Below are 19717 nucleotides of genomic sequence, written 5' to 3' on the forward strand. Positions count from 1 at the left end.
GCAATGATTACTCCAGGTGCAAAGCAGGTGAAGTAAGGACCCAAAGCAAGCAATGAAAAGACCTATCCAAAGTGAAACAAATATATGTAACTAGCAACTAATAAGGACTAGGGAAACGCTGACTCAGAAAACAAAAAGCCTGACAATGAATGTCAAAGAGAAATAAATATGTAACTAGCAACTAATAAGGACTAGGGGAACATTGATTCAGAAAGCTAAAAAGGCTGACAATGAGTAAAAGAACTCTTAATTTCCTTCCCCACTGTTGCTTATATTCCTAATAATAAATCTGTTCTATGAGGCAAATATCTAAGAAAATGGTGCTTAATATGAAGGCTAGGTCGAGCGCAGTGGCTCACGCCTGTAATCCCAGCACTTTGGGAGGCCGAGGTGGGTGGATCACGAGGTCAGGAGTTCAAGACCAGCCTGGCCAAGATGGTGAAACCCCGTCTCTACTAAAAATACAAAAAACTAGCCAGGCGTGGTTGTGGGCACCTGTAATCCCAGCTACAGAGGCAGAGAATCGCTTGAACCCAGGAGGCGGAGGCTGCAGTGAGCTGAGACTGCACCACTGCACTCCAGCCTGGGCAACAGAACGAGACTCCATCTCAAAAAAAAAAAAAAAAAAAAAAGAAGGGTATATACAGTGACCTAGGGATAAAGTTTTAAAATTTTCCTATCCAGCTCTAGCTTCAGAAATACTCATATAGTAGTAGTTCCAGGGTGAAATTCAGACATCTGTACTTTCAAAGATTCTCTAGTAATTCTGATATACCTTTCTCCAAATTAAAAATTAGTAATCTAATGGATAAGAACTAAAAAGGCATTTGTCCAAATTGTTGTCATATAGGTCATGATCAAGAACAGCCACATTATCAAAGAGCAAAAACAATAAAATACATACCATTAGCTACATATGTAATCTTGCATAGAATGTTGTCCCTGCTAATTTCCTGGTTTCCCTCTGGTGGGCTTACCAAGGTTTGACAAATCATAGCAACATTTATTTTGGCACGGACACATCGGTTGTTTAGCTGCCAAAACAAAAAACAAAGCATCAGTAGATACCCAGTATTTTGTAAACTCTGCTGGTCTAATATTATATTAGGTTAACCAAAATCGTAACTCTTAAAAGTATCTCCAGTGAAATCTTATAAGCACCAAGCTGATATGACACCAGGATTCCTCCCCACCCACTTTTTCTGGGGACAAGGTCTTGCTCTGTTGCCCACTCTGGAGTGCAGTGGTGCCATCATAGTTCACTGCAGCTTCAAACTCCTGGGCTCAAAGCAATCCTCCCGCCTCAACCTCCAGAGTAGCTGGGACCACAGGTGCACATCACCAGGCCTGGCTAATTAAAAAAAAAAAAAAAATTTTTTTTAATAGAGATGGGGTCTAACCATGTTGCCCAGGATCCCTTCCTCTTAAGTAGTAAATGGAGCTAAATTGTGGTAAACCACAGAGGTTTGGCTGGCAGTTGATAACGGCTTAAGAGATAACTGTGGGAAGTAGCCTACTGCCCAGTGTATGTACTGCCCTTTTGGCTGTTTCACGAAACATTAGAAGGAAAGGTAAACGGCCCTGGTGGAATGTTCATAGGCATGACTGTTGCCCTCAGACAACACATGGGCTATACTGTTCCTAGCAGTCAATCCAACATAAAATCTAAGAACCATTATCAAATCAAGTATAGTGTATGGGCTGTGTTTATCATTTTTGTCCCGCATTGTGTATTTAGCTTTATATTGTTTAATTATACACATTTATATACATGTACTTACAGGAGCACTGTCATGATCCACAGAAAAATTACAAACTATCCAAGTTTCAGGGTCATTTTCAGTCAAGGCTGGTATCTTTCGAATGACAGAAAGATATAATACGTCTCGCTGAGAAGCAGGCCACACCCTCTGTGGAGAAGTAAAAATCTTTTGAAAAACAGATCTAACATGGAACTAACAAGAGAAACGTAATGCCAATAAATGTCTTAATTGAAGGTAAAATCTCTCAAATTTTAAATGGAAAGCATCTGAGGATATCTACCAAATGATTAATTATGAACAGAGTTAATAGCTTTGCAGAACAATATAATAAAAGGAATAATGTTCTATTTTTTTAATTGCAGTAAAATATATACACGTATAATTTGTCATTTTAACTAACTTTTAGGGTACAATTCAGGGACATTAATTACATTCACAGTGTTATGTAACCATATTGCTATCTCTGAAATTTATCATCATCCCAAACAGAAACTCTGTACCCAGTAAGCAACAACTTTCCATTCCTCTCTCCTCATACTCCATGATTATGTTCTACTTAGATTCAAAGATTTAATGAAAAAAGACTTATTTGAATCAAATCACATTAGAAAGAATTCTAAGTCACTTAGATTAAATATTTCAATATTAAGGTATGCAAGGGGAAACATATACTATGGGAATGACATGGAGCCTAGGTCTTCAATAAATGGGACTACCTACTTTAAATGAGAAAAAAAACCTTTTATCCTATTTAAGTTACTTTTATTTTGGTTATCTCGTATATGTATCTGGACTAGTCCTTGTTATGCAGCGTCATTCCTGATTACTGAGAGTAATAAATAGCATACAATACAAATCATTTGCAAGATGAAATGATTCATTTTTTAAAGATACAAAATTTCATGTAGTTGATAAATATAGTGTTGGGTAAATTGTGTGGAGACAGTAAGTAATACATGAAGATTTGGCAAATTTAGACCTAATGAATACAAATCCACAGGATGATAAGATAGAAATTTAAAGAATGAGAATGACTTAAATATCAAGAGACCAGTAGCCCTCTTTTAAGACCATACTGCAAAAGATGTCAAATTTAAAGGGAAAAATATTGTAGTGTAAATAACACTATAGACTTTGAGTCTAAGCAGAACATTATTATGGAATGGGAGGAGAGGGAATGGGGAGTTGTTGCTTAATGAGTACGGAGTTTCTGTTTGGGGTGATGATAAATTTCAGATATAGTGTGAGTGGTATAGTTACATACACTGCGAATGTAATGTGATTTTCTTGAAAAAATGATTCCAGGACAATTTGTTTATTCCAAGAATTGGCAAATAATTATAACTGTAACAAATTTTGTTACATATAAGATTATTTTAATAATTTTTAGTTTTATTTTTCAATCCTGATACAACTTATATGACCCTCCCTCCATCTACTATTTATCTAGCAGAATACCTTCAGCAGATTGTTTTCCATGATGGATTATTTTCAGATAATAAGGTTCTTTTGGTTCTAAATTATTGGTCATTTATCTTCATTCCAAATTATAGGGTGATTAATTAATATTCTGACATTTACTAAATTTTAGATTTCAAATTAGACTTCAAAATTTGTATGCTGAAACAGAATCTTAATTGTTATGCATTTCTGAGCAGCTACCGTGTAAAATTAAGTATGGCTCCTAATTATTAGATATAAGATGTCTCAGATGACAAGACTGAGTTTAAGAAATACATAACAGACTTATAATGTTTTCATATACTGCACTCAAAAACCATTTAAAAAGAAAAATGAAGCACTCACTGAATTGGAAAAACAAAGTACCTATTAAATCATTACATTTCTTTTATAATGTTTAATACTGTTTTTGGTGGATCTCTCCAAAATTTTAATTCCTTTTATTATGCTATACACATTATGTTATTGGGCAGTTTTCAGAAGAGAAAGAGCAGAATAAGGCAAGAGAACTATTGATTCTATAATTTTAAATATCAAGAATAGCAGAAGAAATAAGGTGAAAGGGAGCTAACTTAAATTATGTTTCTGTATGCTCTGGTGTATGACTAACCTCTCAAGTCACGCTCTGTGATTTTTCTTTGCTTTCAGATAATCCATTTACTTTTATATCTATTAGTCTTAACATAGGCTAATACCATGCTAGCCATTACCCTTATTGTTGTTGTCACAGGAAGCTATAATTCACTTTCATATTTGGTAACTATCATTTACCTCTTATAGAAACTAGATACTAGAAAGGTATTTAAATGGATTTCAGTATTTCAGAAGGCTCTTTTCTAGACTTAAACTGTGTATAAAGAAAGCTAAGAGTGTGGCATACACCAGTAGTTCCAATTACTTGAGAGGCTGAGGCAGGAGGATCACTTGAGCTCAGGAGTTTGAGACTAGCCTGGGAAATACAGCAAGACCCTGTCTCTTTAAAAATAAAAAGTGCACAAAGGGAACTAACCGTTGATCTTTATCAAGCACTCTATTTCTAGATTGTATCTCTCAGATTCTTGCCTGCACATATTTCTGTTCTGAACAAGTTGATATACCTTTTAAATACATGACATTCATGAATCATTATTTAATAAAGTCTTTGGATTTTTGTGGCTTTTAATAACCTCCCCAATTTTACTTTAGAGAATCTATATGTCTGAGTTTGAACTACATTGAAATCCTTTTAGGATGAATGAAGAGATCTTTACCTTGTGTGTTTGATAAATGATGATTGCATTATCAGCTAATGTTTCCACCACATGAAAGTTTTCTATAGTTGCTGAAATGAAGAGAATAATAAAAAGATATATTATCTTTTCCTAGAATGTGATCAATTCACTTATGTTGAAAGTCAAGTACGAATGGACAGTATGGTAAATTGAACAGGATCCTGCCCTATCTAGGTTACATCCAAATGGAAGGTAGCTAATACTTAGTATTATGGTTACAGATTAGGGATGTGAGGTCTGATCACCAGGAAGCCTCATTTTCTTTGGCCCAATTATCTATCTTCCACAGCAAGAAAGCAATTCTAATCACCACTGCATCACTCAGGCACAAATAATTCCCTAACACTAAAACCCTTCCCTTTTCCCCAATTTATTGATGTTAAATAAATTGTTATATCTAATCTTAGGTGGCTATTTCTGTGAAAAAGAGATGTCAAACTGCCAATGATAAACATCTGATGATGTTGAGAAGTATCTATACTTAGGAAATTTTGTGTCTAAGGGGAATACACACTAAGAATAACTCTAGGCTGGGTGCAGTGGCTCACATCTGTAATCCCAGCACTTTGGGAGGCCAAGGCAGGTGGAACACCTGAGGTCAGGAGTTCGAGACCAGCCTGACCAACACGGCAAAACCCCGTCTCTACTAAAAATACAAAAATTAGCTGGGCGTGATGGTGTGCGCCTGTAATCCCAGTTACTTGGGAGGCTGAGGCAGAAGAATCACTTGAACTGGGGAGGTAAAGGTTGCAGCGAGCTGAGATCATACCACTGCACTCCAGCCTGTGTGACAAGAGCGAAACTCTGTCTAAAAAAATAAAATAATTCTAAAGTAATCACAAAAGGATTCACCTAGGATTTACCACGGAAACAGTTTAGGAAAGAGTAGATGATGAAACAGAAATCTTCAATTTCAGTCTTGGCTTCTCCACCATATAGCTCTTGTTGCCTTTGACAAGTCACTTTGCCTATCTGAATTTTACTTTATTTGTATGTAAAATAAGCAATAATACCTACCTATCACTGTAGGATTACTGAGGTTATTGGATCAAATTACATACTAGGAAGCATTTCATACACTGAAAAGCTCTACATAAATGTATTGCTAGTCCTCTATATGATTTTCCAAATACTTTCTACGTTGACTTTGTAAACTATGTAGGAGATGCAGAAAACTAGGTTGGATTTGATATTAAATTCAAAATAATAGATTAAAATATATTAATAATGACAGCTTACTTTCCCAGTCATTGCGAACGTCAACATTCCAGAAATAATTGCAGACTTCATGTCCTGTGACGCCTTTAACTGCATGGGTAGCTTTTAAAGGATCCAGAACAATCCCATTTTCTTCTACTTCTCTTCTGTATACCTAAAGAGAACATAATTCCAAAACTGTTTGAAAATTAAAAATCAAGCCCATAAAAGCAGGAAAGCATGCTTTTAATACAGCTGCTCTTTAGATTTTTATGAAAGTCTATTTATAGAACATATTCTGCTAAAAGAAAATTAAAAATTTCAAATTAACAGACAAAAAAGTACTTAAAATTATAAATCCAAGGTAAACCTCAGATAAAAACATGCATATGTGATAAATGACTTATTGTGAGTTGTTTAAAAATAAATGTATCAATTTGAATTAGGCATTATTTACCATTCTCAAAAGACTGTTTAACATGGCTAAGAAAACCAAATAAACCTGGCTAGAATATATTCTCCTTAAAGATACTAAATTAAGTCTGCTTTGTTCAATGCTGTATCCCCAACAGCTAGAATAGTATATGAAACACAATAGGCACTCAGTTATTTGTTAAATCAATGGCTGAAAGCTAAGATGGCAAAAACGTAAATACAGATCTATCTTGCTTTAAATACTGAGGTTACATACCTTAAATGCTAAGTAAAATTAATTATTTTAAAATTATAGAGTTTGCTACTTTAGATAATTATGTGATAAATACTCTTGAGAAATGAAACATGTCATCATGGGGGAGAACCAAGTGCCAATTTATGAAGGACCTATGGGGCTGGACACTGTTAGGCATTTCACATAGATTTTCTTAGAGTATCTCTCAACAGACTACCTTCCCCTACCTATTTATTACTCATATTATTGGGACCACCGTTTTCCCAGCTACCCAAACTAGAAACTCTAGACTTTTGATTCCTCCCTTTACAGTTCACACAGCTAGTAAGCTCTTTACTATTCTTTTTTGTTTTTTGAGACAGAGTTTCGCTATTGTTGCCCAGGCTGGAGTGCAATGGCGCCGTCTCGGCTCACTGCAACCTCCGCCTCCCAGGTTCAAGCGATTCTCCTGTCTCGGCTTCCTGAGTAGCTGGGATTACAGGCGCCTGCCACTACGCCCAGCTAATTTTTGGTATTTTTAGTAGAGACAGGGTTTCACCATGTTGGCCAAGCTGGTCTCAAACTTCTGACCTCAGATGATCTGCCCGCCTTGGCCTCCCAAAGTGCTGGGATTACAGGTATGAGCCACTGCCACCAGTCAAAAACTGTTCTTAATAAAGCATAGAAGAGATGATTAGGGGTGAGGCAGGAATCTATTGACACCATGGCACTGGCAGTTCCTAGATGTGGTGCCAAAGGTGCAGAGCAGGGAGGCCTCTAGCTCACATTATTATTTTTTGTCTAAAATGTCTTCGCTAAGACATCCAACAGTTTGACTTTTCTACTGTTCTAGGTAGGCTTTCATCACTTTGTGCCTGACTCTTTTAAGTAGTCTGCTTGTTCTCCAGTTTCTTCCCTATCAGCTTGATCTTCTTAAAATTACACTTTTCAGGCCAGGCGCAGTGGCTCACACCTGTTATCCCAGCACTTTGGGAGGCCGAGGCGGGCGGATCACCTGAGGTCAGGAGTTCAAGACCAGCCTAGCCAACAAGGTGAAACCCCATTTCTACTAAAAATACAAAAATTAACCCAGCGTAGTGGCGGGTGCCTGTAATCCCAGCTACCTGGGAGGCTGAGGCAGGAGAATCACTTGAACCCAGGAGGCGGAGGCTGCGATAAGCCAAGATCATGCCATTGCACTCCAGCCTGGGTGACAAGAGCAAAACTCTGTCTCAAAAAAAAGAAAAAAAAAAAAAGATACTTTTCATACAGTGGCTAGTCTACTGTTGTAGACAATTGTTATAGACAACGATTGTTCTCTTTAGAGAGTAACTTTATGCTTCCCATTATCTAGGCCCAATTTCTCTCTAACACTGTGGGCTGTAGGAGTAGTTATTTTCTATTCCTCATTCCAGGTAGAGGGACGTCATCCAGACCATCACTCCTGGCTTCTCTTTAGTACTTCACTTCCTCCTCCCCAGAGGGAGGTGACTCTACGGTGACTGAACGATGACTACAGAAGAAGAAATAAGGCAGGTCTGGCTCAACCCTTTCTTCCGCGAAGAGCATACATCCTGGCCTGCTTCTGTAGTGAAGGTTTGTGATTATCCAGCAATGCCAGGAACATGCTTAATTCTGGAGTAACAAGACCCTGTAGCAGCTGATCTCAAACTATTTTCTACAATCACCTTATCAGAATTATAGCTAACATTCTGGTATCTCATTTATCTGTCTGTTTTATCTTATGTCTTACTTTGTTCCTTATTCAAGGGGAGAGGAAATCCCAGCATCTAATATTATATCTTATTTGCTAGAATAATTCTGGTCAACATAGATTATGCAAAAAATCCTGACTAAAAAGTTTGCTTTCAAGTTTTTGCTCACATTATAATTTTTTTCCTAAAATGCCCTCACCTCACCCTTGTCACAACTTTCTTTTTAATTCCAGATGTAGTTCAAATGCTTCTCTGCATTGTAAAACAATCTAATTGTTTCAAATCACAGAGATCTTTCTTTTCTGATTTTCTCCACCACTCATCTGTACTCTTCACTCAGTACATTATCAGATGGAGCCAAGTATAGCATGCATGCATATATATATATATATATATATATATATATATATATATATATCTCACACAGGGTCTCACTTTGTGACCCAGGCTAGAGTGCAGTGGCACAAACGCGGCTCATTGCAGCCTTGACCTCCCTGGCTCAAGGAATCTTTTGCCTCAGCCTCCTGGGTAGCTGGGACTACAAGTGTGTGGTACTGCACCCAGCTAATTTTTGTATTTTTGGTAGAGACGGGGTTTCACCGTGTTGCCCAGGTTTGACTTGAACTCCTGAGCTCAAGTAATCCGCCTGCCATGTCCTCCTAAAAGTGCTGGGATTACAGGCATAGCCACTGTGCCTGGCCAATAGTATCTTTTAAATGTCAATATTCTTTTTCCTTAACTAAAGCTTTAGCTTGGAGAGTGTCTTATTATCTTTGTATCTTTATTTAGCATAGTTCCTTAGGAATGAGAAAATCCAAAATTCAATGTTGCTTTTGCTTTTCAATCCATCTCTGTATCTCTCAGTCCCTGCTCTTATTTTCTGTCCTTGTGTTTAGGGATGTAAACAAGATTAACTGACCAATGTCCAAATATCAAATAAAGGTGCAGTAAGAGAAGGGAAAAGAAGGAGGGTATAGACCAAAAAGGGAGAGAAACAAAGTGTCATCTAGGCACAACATTCAGTATGTTAAAAAAACAAAACAAAAGGAAATATCCAAATACAGGACCATCAGCTAATTGTGACCTGGTCATATCTAATTCTCTAAATTTTATTTTCTTCATGGCCTAGTCAAAACAGAAAGGTTTAATCATATATTTATATTATAATCATAAAAACCTTTAGTAAAGGCAAAGCCAGAAAAGCAAAAAGACATTTTATTGCTCAATATATGGTACTGCTTTGATCACATGTAATAATTTGTTTTAAAGGTAAGTTGAAAGTGCTATCCTTATTCATATCAATAGTAATGATAATATGACTGAAACAGAGACGCCTTTGGCAATCTATAACATTTCAGGGGGAATTACCTTCATTTCTCCTTCTTCTACAACCAACTGCCAATTGGCATCTCCGCCTACATCCTGTAATGAGTAAGTCATGTGGTTCTGCACCATCTCTTCAACCTTGAGAAGGGAGGAAAAAGGCATGAGAATCCAAAAGGTATGTCATAATCTCTAAAACAGAATGGTCTTCAGTTAACTTCAGTTCAGAAATGGTGCTCTTAGTAGCTGAGCAACCAAATGCACAAAGGTTAGTAGGTTTTACATAGTGTTTGAAGAGTTTAGTCCACATTCCAGATATCCAGGTTAATGACAGGAGACAGAAATGAAAAGAAGGAAGATGGGTCACTCAAGTAACACATATTGGCCTAATGTGTATCAAGTGACCAAAATAAGCATTTTCAGGAAAAAAGAAATATTCCATTCTATATCATAAAACAGAGATGATGTGTTAAAGTATAAAATAATGGAAGAGTAGAGATAAAGGGGGCACAGAGATCATCCAGTCTAATGTTCCTATATTTAAGATTATGTGGAGATATCAGGAAGGTCTGGTATGAACAAAGACATAGAGAGAGAGAGCATATCTTTGCCTATATCTTTGCTCTCATACGAGCAAAGATACACAAAGATGAGCAAAGATATATATGTATATGTCAAAGATTTCAATACAAAAAAGGTGAAAAACCTTTCTTATGCCACTGATAAACCTCTCTTTTATCATGGAATATAAGCCAATTTAAAAATAATCAAACCTTTATTTATTTGATTCCAATTTCTTTGTTCTAAATTATTTTGGGGACAATGCTAATATTCATATATGCAAGCATTTACATATAATCACCTTTTAGTTCATTCTTTTAAAATTTCTAATAATTTCCTTTTAAAATTTTTTAATTTAAATTTATAACTTTTTCCTGATATTTAAATGTAACTCTTAATTATCACAAATTGTCCTTATACATTTTATGTAAATAAGCAAAGAAAGCTGAATATTTCACACTACCAGAATTCTCAGATTTATTGGAGAACTGAAGTGATACAAAGATTGCGGAAACAAAGTAATTTCATTTTCTGTAATAAATACATTAGAAGACAGAAGAGCTGGAAGATATATATATTATACTTCCATTAAAATTTTATCCTTAAGTTTAACTATTTGTTTTATATAAAGTCTATTCTGTTCATTAGGAATATAGAACAGGAATCAGTTTTGAACATATTTCAAAGTAAATAATCAACTTCCCCCCTACCCGCCAGAGACAGGGTTATTTTGTCACCCAGGTTGGAGTGCAGCGGCACAATCATAACTCACTGTAATCTTGAACTTCTGGGCTCAAGTGATCCTCCTGCCTCAGCCTCCTAAGTAGCTAAAACTATATGCCTGTGCCACCATGCCTAACATTTTTTTTTTTTTAAGAGACACGGTCTCACTTCGTGGCCCAGACTGCAGTACAGTAGTATGATCATAGCTCACTGCCACTACAATTTCCTGGGCTCAAGGGATCCTCCTGCCTCAGCCTCTGAGTAGGTGGGACTACAGGAGTGCACCACCACATCCAGTTAATTTTTTGTAGAGACAGGGTCTCGCCATCTGGCCCAGGCTGGTCTTGAACTCCTGGTCCCAAGTGATCTTCCCACCTTGGCCTCATTAATGGTTTTAAAAAAGAAACTCACTCTGGGAATATAATTTTCTATACCAAAGGATATGTTATATGTGATAGTGATGTTCTGCTACCTCAAGTTTCTGGATCTTAAATGCATTTTTGATTACTGAAAGCAGGTATGGCCTTAAGTGTCTCCTGATCTGTCAATCATCAAAAAGAAATTTTTTGACAAAAATGCTGAGATTCTATAATCTACTTTTGTACTAAATAAACACTAACAATATTTTATTCCTTTATTCATAATTCTCAAAACAGTGTGAGTTACTGATTTGACAGAAATTTAACAGGACATTCTACAATTTTACAAAGCCTTGGAAAATATAACTTTTGGTGTTGCATGGAGAACCTGTGCACCTTTATAATTTCAGAATCTGCTTTGGGAGGGCGAGGATAACCAATGCAGGATTCCAAATTACTAATACATACAAAATGTATCTGATTTCCAAAAAGAAAAGTTCCAGTTAGTATGCATAAATAAAAGTAGCATTGGCTTGATTCATTTGTCTCTGTCACATTGTGATTAGGAGAAATGTTTACTCTTCAGATCCCAAAATCTTAAACATCTTTAGATTTGAGTATATCTTTGAGGTAGGAAACTAGTAGTTAAGCACACCTGTATTTATTATGAGATAAGAGACAGAAAGAAATGCTTCCCCCAAATAAACCCTACTTTCAATAGGTTACCTATGAAAGAAGAATGTGAAGAACAGAAGAATTTTATTCTGTTAAAAAACAGAATTGGGTTTAAAATAATTTTCTAATGCTACTTAGCTCTTTTGTCAAAAAGAATGCAGGTAGTTGTGTTTCTGTTTGGGAGATTATTCTGAATTAGGGATTTCAAATGCCTAAGAAATGAGGTGTTTTTGATTTGTGGTTTTGTCCAAAAGAAAACAGATTCCACAAATATAAACGCGTAGTAGGTAGCACAAGTTAAAAAATATATAGATAGCACATTTAACATTGTCTTTCTAGATAGGCAAAAAATGCTGTTCCTTCAATGGTAGGCCACGAGGGAGGCCCAGGTTCAATTTTCAGCCATGCTGTATAAAAACGTTTTAAAAATGATATTCCTGTAACAGCTACACTGCATCAATGGAAAACCGGTTTTCAAAAGGTCCAACAAAGAAACAAACATTCAGTACTGTGCTCCTAAAAAACTAAAGATTCTAATGAAGTACTAAATTACTGCAATAAACTCTGCAAAACTTTCATCATGGAATCTTCATTCATGATAATATCTTCCTTGAGGTAATAACATTAAAGTTAAGAGAGGTATACAGGTAAAAATCTCACTATAACAAATTTTATGTTTGCTGTAGGAAAATACAAAGTAACCAATATTACCATAGGGGCAGTAACTTGGGCACTGGTGACCAGACTGACACTTCAGATTTAACCTGATAATCTGCTCACTTTACTGTTCAGTTATGACACGACATATTAAAAAGAAGTGGGAGGCCAGGTGCGGTGGCTCACGCCTGTAATCCCAGCACTTTGGGAGGCTGAGGCGGGCAGATCACAAGGTCAGGAGTTCGAGACCATCCTGCCTAACATGGTAAAACCCCGTCTCTACTAAAAATACAAAAAAATTGGCCGGGCGTGGTGGTGGGTGCCTGTAGTCCCAGCTACTCAGGAGGCTGTGAAAGGAGAATAGCGTGAACCTGCGAGGCGGAGGTGGCAGTGAGCCAAGATCACGCCATTGCACTCCAGCCTGGATGACAGAGAGAGACTCCGTCTCAAAAAAAAAAAAAAAAAAAAAAAAAAAAGAAGTGGGAAACAAGGAAATACTAAGTTTCATTAAAAAAAAAACAAAAACAAAAAACAACAAATATAGCCAAATTTACCATGCTATTAGGCTCAAAATTTGACATTCTAGGAAATAATGTTATAGTAACACCTCCTGTCACTTATAAATGAAAAAGACTCAGTCAAAAACATTGAAGAAGGTGAACAGTGTTTCTAAGTTTTAATTAGGCTAAGTGTAATTTCAGAAATCATGCCCTTGATTTTTCTGGACCTAGAGTTGAAAATGATTAGGTGACATTCAAAGCATCTTCAAACTAATAAACTATGAAACAAAATGGAGATAAAATACATTTGAGATAAGAGGGGACGTTCACTCCAATTCTAACCTTTTCTTCCATCTCACATTTGAATCACTCAGTATGATGCCATTTCTGGATGTTACCAAGTAGGATTTTTCTAACACTATTACCCAGAAATTTGAAAAGAAAATTGCCTTTTGATAGTACAATAAAAGTCTAAGTTGGGCATGGTGGTTCATGCCTGTAGTCCCAGCAGCTTGGGAGGATTGCTTGGGCCTAGGAGTTTGAGGTTAAGTCTCGGCAACATAGCAAGACCTCATCTACTTAAAAAAAAAAAAAAAAAAAAAGAAAGTCTAGAAGGGCTCAAAAACAGCTCAGATCTCTTTTATGCATGTAAAAGAAATGTTGGCCAGGCAGGGTGGCTCATGCCTGTAATCACAGCATTTTGGGAGGCTGAGGCACGCGGACCACGAGGTCAAGAGATAGAGACCATCCCGGCTAACACGGTGAACTCCCCTCTCTACTAAAAATATAAAAAATTAGCTGGGCGTGGTGGTGCATGCCTGTAGTCCCAGATACTCAGGAGTCTGAGGCAGGAGAATCACTTGAACCCGGGAGGCGGAGGGTGCAGTGAGCCGAGATCGCGCCACTGCACTCCAGCCTGGGCAACATAGCAAGACTCCACCTCAAAAAAGGAAATACAACTATGCTTACTACAAAGCCACAAAACCATAGAGGGGGCTTGTTAGATAGAATAATTATTAATAACAAAATAGTGCACTGTTAACCCAAAAGAGAGATGGCTAAGAACATAGCACTTTTAGCCTACCGTATTGACAAAAGTTAACTGAATTATAATATTCAGTGCTACTATATCAATAGAAAACTGGCCTGGGAATGTAAGCTGGTTCAACTTTTCTAATGAAGAGTTTGGCAGTAAAAATTTTTAAAACTTGGCTGAGGCCTGTGGCCTGTAATCCTAGCACTTTGGGAGGCTGAGGTGGGAAGATCACTTTAGGCTAGGGGTTCAAGACCAGCCTAGGCAACACAGTGAGACCCCCATATCTACAAAAAATAAAAAATTGAAAAAAAAATTAGCTGAGAGTGGTGGCCCATGCCTGTAGTCCCAGCTACTCAGGCTGAGGCAAAGATCGCTTGAGGTTGCAGTGAGCTATGATTGTGCCACTGCATTCTAGCCTGGAAGACAGAATGAGACCCTATCTCTTAAAAAATAAATAAAATAGCAGCCTGGGCAACACAGTGAGACCTCGTCTCTGCTACAAATAAAAAAATTAGCTGGGCATGATGGCATGTGCCTGTAGTCCTTAGCCCCCGCTACTGAGGAGACTGAGGCAGGTGGATCGCTTGAGTCCAGGAGGTCAAGGTGCAGTGAGTGGTGATCTCACCACTGCACTCCAGTCTGGGGAACAAAGCAAAACCCTGTATCAAAATTAATAAAAATAAAATAAAATAATAAAATAAACACTTGAAAATGTTCATGGCCTTTGTTCCCACAATTATGCTTCTAGGAATATATTCTAAGGAAATAATTAGATAAGGGTGCAAAGATGCATATACAAGGATTTTAAAAAATCAGGCACATATGGATAAGTACATACACCTTAATATTTATCTCATATATATGAGAGAAGATAAATGGAATATTAGTAAACTATTATTTTAATTTTATTCTACTTTCAAGTTCTGTTAAAATTAGCATGTATCACTTGTACACTGAAAAAGGGAGAGGGGTGAAATAATTACTACAACAATAATGTGCTCCTATGGACAAAGGGTGGGAAAGAGCCTCACACAGAACCATTTTTTGCAATGATGCTCCCCATAGATTAAGCTGCAAATTCACTGTACATCCTTTGATTTCTTTCTTTTTCAATAGAGGATGATGTTCTTCCCCTTTGATTTCTAAGGTGACACCTTTAAATGTGAACTGTGTTATGCAAATAACTGTGAACAAAATGATCAATTTATGAATCTAAATTCTTTCTATTCTCTGTACACCTGAAAATTATTTTCTAGTTTGTGGCCACAGCCATTATTTCAAGAACTTGCCAGCCTGGGCAACATAGCAAGGCCCTGTCTCTACAAAAAATAAAAACAATTAGTTGGGTGTGGTGGAATGCCTGTAGTCCCAGCTACTTGGGAGGCTGAGAGACAGGAGGATCACTTGTGTCCAGGAAGTCAGAGGTCAGAGGTCAGGTTACAGAGCTATGATCATGCCACTGCACTTGGCCTGGACAAGTGAAACCTTGTCTCTTTACAAAAAAAAAAAAAAAAAAAAAAAATGCTGGGCATGGTGTCTCAGGCCTGTAATCCCAGCACTTTGGGAGGCCGAGACGGGCAGATCACTTGAGGTCAGGAGTTCGAGACCAGCCTGGCTAACATGGTGAAACCCTGTCTCTACTAAAAATACAAAAATTAGCTGGGTGTGATAGCGTGTGCCTGTAATCCCAGCTGAGACAGGAGAATCGCTTGAACCTGGGAGACGGAGGTTGCAGTGAGTTGAGATCGTGCCACTGCACTACAGCCTGGGTGACAGAATGAGACTCTGTCTCAAAAAAACCCAAAAAACAAAAATGAAAAAACAAACAACAACAACAACAACAACAACAACAAAAACACAGAACTTGCAGTCCTTTACAACTTTAATTTCTCAGATCTGGAGTGACTTCATTCCTAATATCTGCCCATCAGACAGATTCATGTGTTGGTACTAATTTCCTAGTAGATGTACATATTTTATTTTAAGCTGTTTTCAGGGCATCTCTCAATTGTACACTTGATTATTTCAGCCAATTCAAGGCTATAAAACATCATTTCAAGAAGAACAAGGTAGTCATGAGCCAACACTTATATAAACAGCAAAGTGAAATTACCAGAGATTTAGAAGGCTTCTGTATGGGAGCTGATATAAATGATCAAGAAACTAGATATGGTATCTGTATCTGGACTTTTAAAATTTGTTGGAGTAAGTAAGAATTGATTATATTATGCTTATATAATATTTTGGCAAATTATTAAAGGTGATTAAAAATGTCGACTTAGTTTTTTAATTAATTATGAAGATATTATAAAACAAAGAATTTGGTTACCTCCCATATCAAGCGCTGTGGAGTAACTGATGTATATTTGTGTATTAAGAACGATGTAGGCCAGGTGTGGCGGCTCATGCCTGTAATCCCAGCACTTTGGGAGGCCGAGGCGGGCAGATCACCTGAGGTCAGGAGTTCGAGACCAGCCTGGCCAACATGGTGAAACCCCATCTCTACTAAAAATGAAAAAAAATTAGCTGGGTGTGGTGGCAGGTGCCTGTAATCCCAGCTACTCAGGTGGCTGAGGCAAGAGAATCGCTTGAATCCAGGGGGCAGAGGGTGCAGTGAGCCAAGATCGTACCATTGCACTCCAGCCTGGGCAACAAAAGCGAAACTCCGTCTCAAAAAAAAAAAAAAAACAAAAAACAGAAAAGACCGATGCAATGTAATATAACATAAGTGTTTCTAATGTTAATGAATAACCTTTGAGCCTCTTATTTTGCTTAATACAAAAGTCTCTATAGGGTGTGAGAACTGTAAAATGTAACACTACTGTATAGTCACTACTATAATTTTACACTGTGTTGAACTGGAAGAGTTTTCCAGATAACACAATGTTTCTCAACTAATATTAACTCCAGATCTACATCCAATGCTATATTCTCAAGTGTGACTATACAGAATCAACTTGCTAGATCCTTTGATAATGGCTGATAAGGCAGTGTAACATCCTCTGAAACAAAAAATCTTATCAATTGGGAATTAGTCATCTATTATAAAGGAACTGCTGAACATAAGGCACACAATTTAATTACAACAGTGAATTGCTAGAGTCCACGTCTGCTAATGACAACTAATGCTTTAGCAAGGACAACAAATACTTGAAGACCTTAATGTTATTTTCTTCATTTTTACCTCTTCTGGCATATAAAACAGTACATAATCAAAGGCTAAAACAGGATCTGATCAATCATGAGCACCATATATTAGAGAAAAAAATCCAGCAAGATTTCTCTCAAGTTACATACATGAGTTTTACAAAAGGTTATTAATATTACGAAGAAGTAAGCTGTCAGCAAAATTTTGTAAAAATATAGGCACCTGCTTCTCAGTGATATAGTTACCTGGACTTAAAAGCAATTCAGCTGTTCTACAGCACTACAGTGAGGGCCCTGGTTTGGGTTCTGAACCCCTAATTCTTAGGCATTCTTTATTACTGGCTTACATTCTTTCTTTGCTGTCATTATATTTTCTTTCATTTATAGCCTATGTATTCCTGCATTTTTGATTAGTCTGTGATATGATTTTAATGCAATGTGGAGCTTAGCACAATAAACCAAAGTCTCCCAGTATTATGTAGTTTTGTCACAGATTCATTATGAATATGAGTCTCTTTTTAAAAACATACGCAGGGCCGGGCATGGTGGCTCACACCTGTAATCCCAGCACTTTGGGAGGCCGAGGTGGGCAGATCACGAGGTCAGGAGTGCTAGACCAGCCTGGCCAACATGGTGAAAACCCGTCTTTACTAAGAATACAAAAATTAGCTGGGCATAGTGGTGCGTGCCTGTAATCCCAGCTACTTGGGAGGCTGAGGCAGGAGAATTGCTTGAACCTGGGAGATGGAGGTTGCAGTGAGCCCAGATCGTGCCACTGCACTCCAGCCTGGGCAACAGAGCAAGACCCTGTCTCGAAAATAAATAAGTAAAATTAAAAAAAAATGCATAAATGGACAAGCAAAAGGTAAAATATACTGTGGTATATTTGGTTATGGATGATTTCTGATCCAGAATTGCTAAATCTTTTTCTTAAGAGTATTCAAGGAGAAAAACGCTGTACAAGTCAGAAAAATTAAAGTCTTAATATTCTTCTCTATTGCAGGTTAAAAACTAATGTAAACTTTATTTATAAACATAAAAATAATAGAAATCTCTTTAAACTATGACTTTTAAAAACTTTTATAGCAATACTCTCACAGAGGAAAAAATAATGATGTAGATAACTTTTATTAGCTCAAAGAAATTATGTTATAATAGCAATACAAGGTAACATTTATTGAGCACTTATTATGTGTCAGGTTCTAGCTAAATCATAAAAATGAAGCACAAAAAAGTTAGAAAACTTACTGGGATCATACACCTAACCAGGGTTTAAACTGAGTCATTCTGACCAGAGTGCTCAGGTCTTTAATATAAGATTAACATAATATAATCTAGTCCAATAAAATGCAATCACCAGAAAGATAAAAAGTTGAATGGCAAAGATGTGAAGATTAAGAAAATTAAAAAAAGAACTAACGCTGACACTAAAAAAAACTTCTTCCAATGGTAATCTGATTTTATTTTGAGGGTACAGACTTTAGAGACCGCAAGCATCCAGCTTCCTGTCTTAAATTCCTAAACCCTTACCAATGCTAAAAATTAAAACAAATTTCCATAGATTTAGCATATGAACAGAAATATTCATTTATAATATCCAAAGGTAATTTGCATAAGGAAAACACAATCTGCTCAATAGAGCTTAGTATTATAATGGAAATGAAACATATTATTAAAAAGTGATTTCCTTGTTGAATATAATTTGGAGATACTTTAGCTTAAAAGTGAGACTGTTAAAATCTGCTTTTCTGCTATAACATATCATATAGACCACGTCCATCAAAACTGCTAAATCCTGACTGAAGAAACAGATATTACATGATATACAAAACCCAGTATCTTCTATTTGTTTCAATTCAGTTTGAAAATCTTTCTGGAGTACCTCCTATATGACAAAATTCCAAGCTGTGAATAGTAAAGGACACATGCAAACCTGACAGAGGAACTATTTAGTAGACAAGGAAGACCTTTTTAATGCTTAATGTTACTATTTAAAATTCAAAACTAAAATCAGTGGCCTAACCAAAAGATTTCTAGGAACTGGGAAAGCAGGCTGAAATATAGCACAGAAAGACTCAAGTCCACTCTATACATTCATACAGTACCTGGGAGCTGAATCTGTGAACATCATCAGAGGCACTGACTAGATCAATGGAAGACATGGAGGAAGAGCGACTATAGGGCTACCAGAGACAGACAAAGAAAAAACCAAGTAATCAGAACAAAGGCACAACAGAGCATTCAGTACCAACTTCCAAACACAAGATAAAGGGAAGAGAAAACAAAGCACTATATGAAACAAGCACAGCAGCAACTGCTGACTTCATGCACCTATTATGTATTATGTTCCAAAATCATTCCAAAAAAGAATGTAGTGCTTCCAATAATACAAAGTAATACCATTTAACCCCAAAGAAGAGAGAGATTTAGTATAACTGGATATACTTCTGGTTAACTATTTTGGACTAGCCACTCCTTATTTGCCCACCCCCAACTTTCCCCTTAAATAAAAATGAAAGAACTTTATTTTCAGAACAAAATTTCTAACTGTTTTGGAGGATGTATATGGAATACAATATATAAAACCAAAAACAGTCTCATTACTTAAATTAATGAAAAGGGGAGAAAACTTATATACTACAAGATATTTCCGGCTGGGCATGGTGGCTCACGCCTGTAA

At 36.8% G+C, this 19717-nt stretch overlaps 1 protein-coding gene across 9 annotated transcripts in view, besides 1 other annotated feature; it reads right to left on the reverse strand.

Moving 5' to 3' along the window:
- Positions 1-19717, reverse strand: part of CERT1 (ceramide transporter 1) — a 143496-nt gene that overhangs the window by 11682 nt on the left and 112097 nt on the right. For 6 of the 9 annotated variants that reach the window (XR_007058566.1, XM_011543090.4, NM_001379002.1 and 3 more), the window contains 6 exons: positions 19143-19220; positions 9425-9520; positions 5735-5867; positions 4475-4545; positions 1782-1910; positions 905-1034 (listed from right to left, as the gene is read on the reverse strand). Coding sequence is in view for 8 of the 9 variants with exons in the window: in XM_011543090.4 (XP_011541392.1) it covers positions 905-1034; positions 1782-1910; positions 4475-4545; positions 5735-5867; positions 9425-9520; positions 19143-19220 (637 nt within the window). In the remaining variant the exon portion in view is untranslated. The remainder of the gene's footprint in view (positions 1-904; positions 1035-1781; positions 1911-4474; positions 4546-5734; positions 5868-9424; positions 9521-19142; positions 19221-19717) is intronic. The other 3 variants (NM_001379003.1, NM_031361.3, NM_001379004.1) reach the window with 1 other exon arrangement.
- Positions 7079-8278: an enhancer, noted in NCBI's record as "MED14-independent group 3 enhancer chr5:74683071-74684270 (GRCh37/hg19 assembly coordinates)". NCBI's record gives its function as "activates an origin of replication core promoter dependent on BRD2, BRD4, P300/CBP and CDK7 cofactors, and independent of MED14, by STARR-seq in HCT116 cells {active_cell/tissue: HCT116}" and the evidence as "EXISTENCE:reporter gene assay evidence [ECO:0000049][PMID:35650434]".

This window comes from Homo sapiens, chromosome 5 (assembly GCF_000001405.40).
Source record: "Homo sapiens chromosome 5, GRCh38.p14 Primary Assembly".
NCBI lineage: Eukaryota > Metazoa > Chordata > Mammalia > Primates > Hominidae > Homo > Homo sapiens.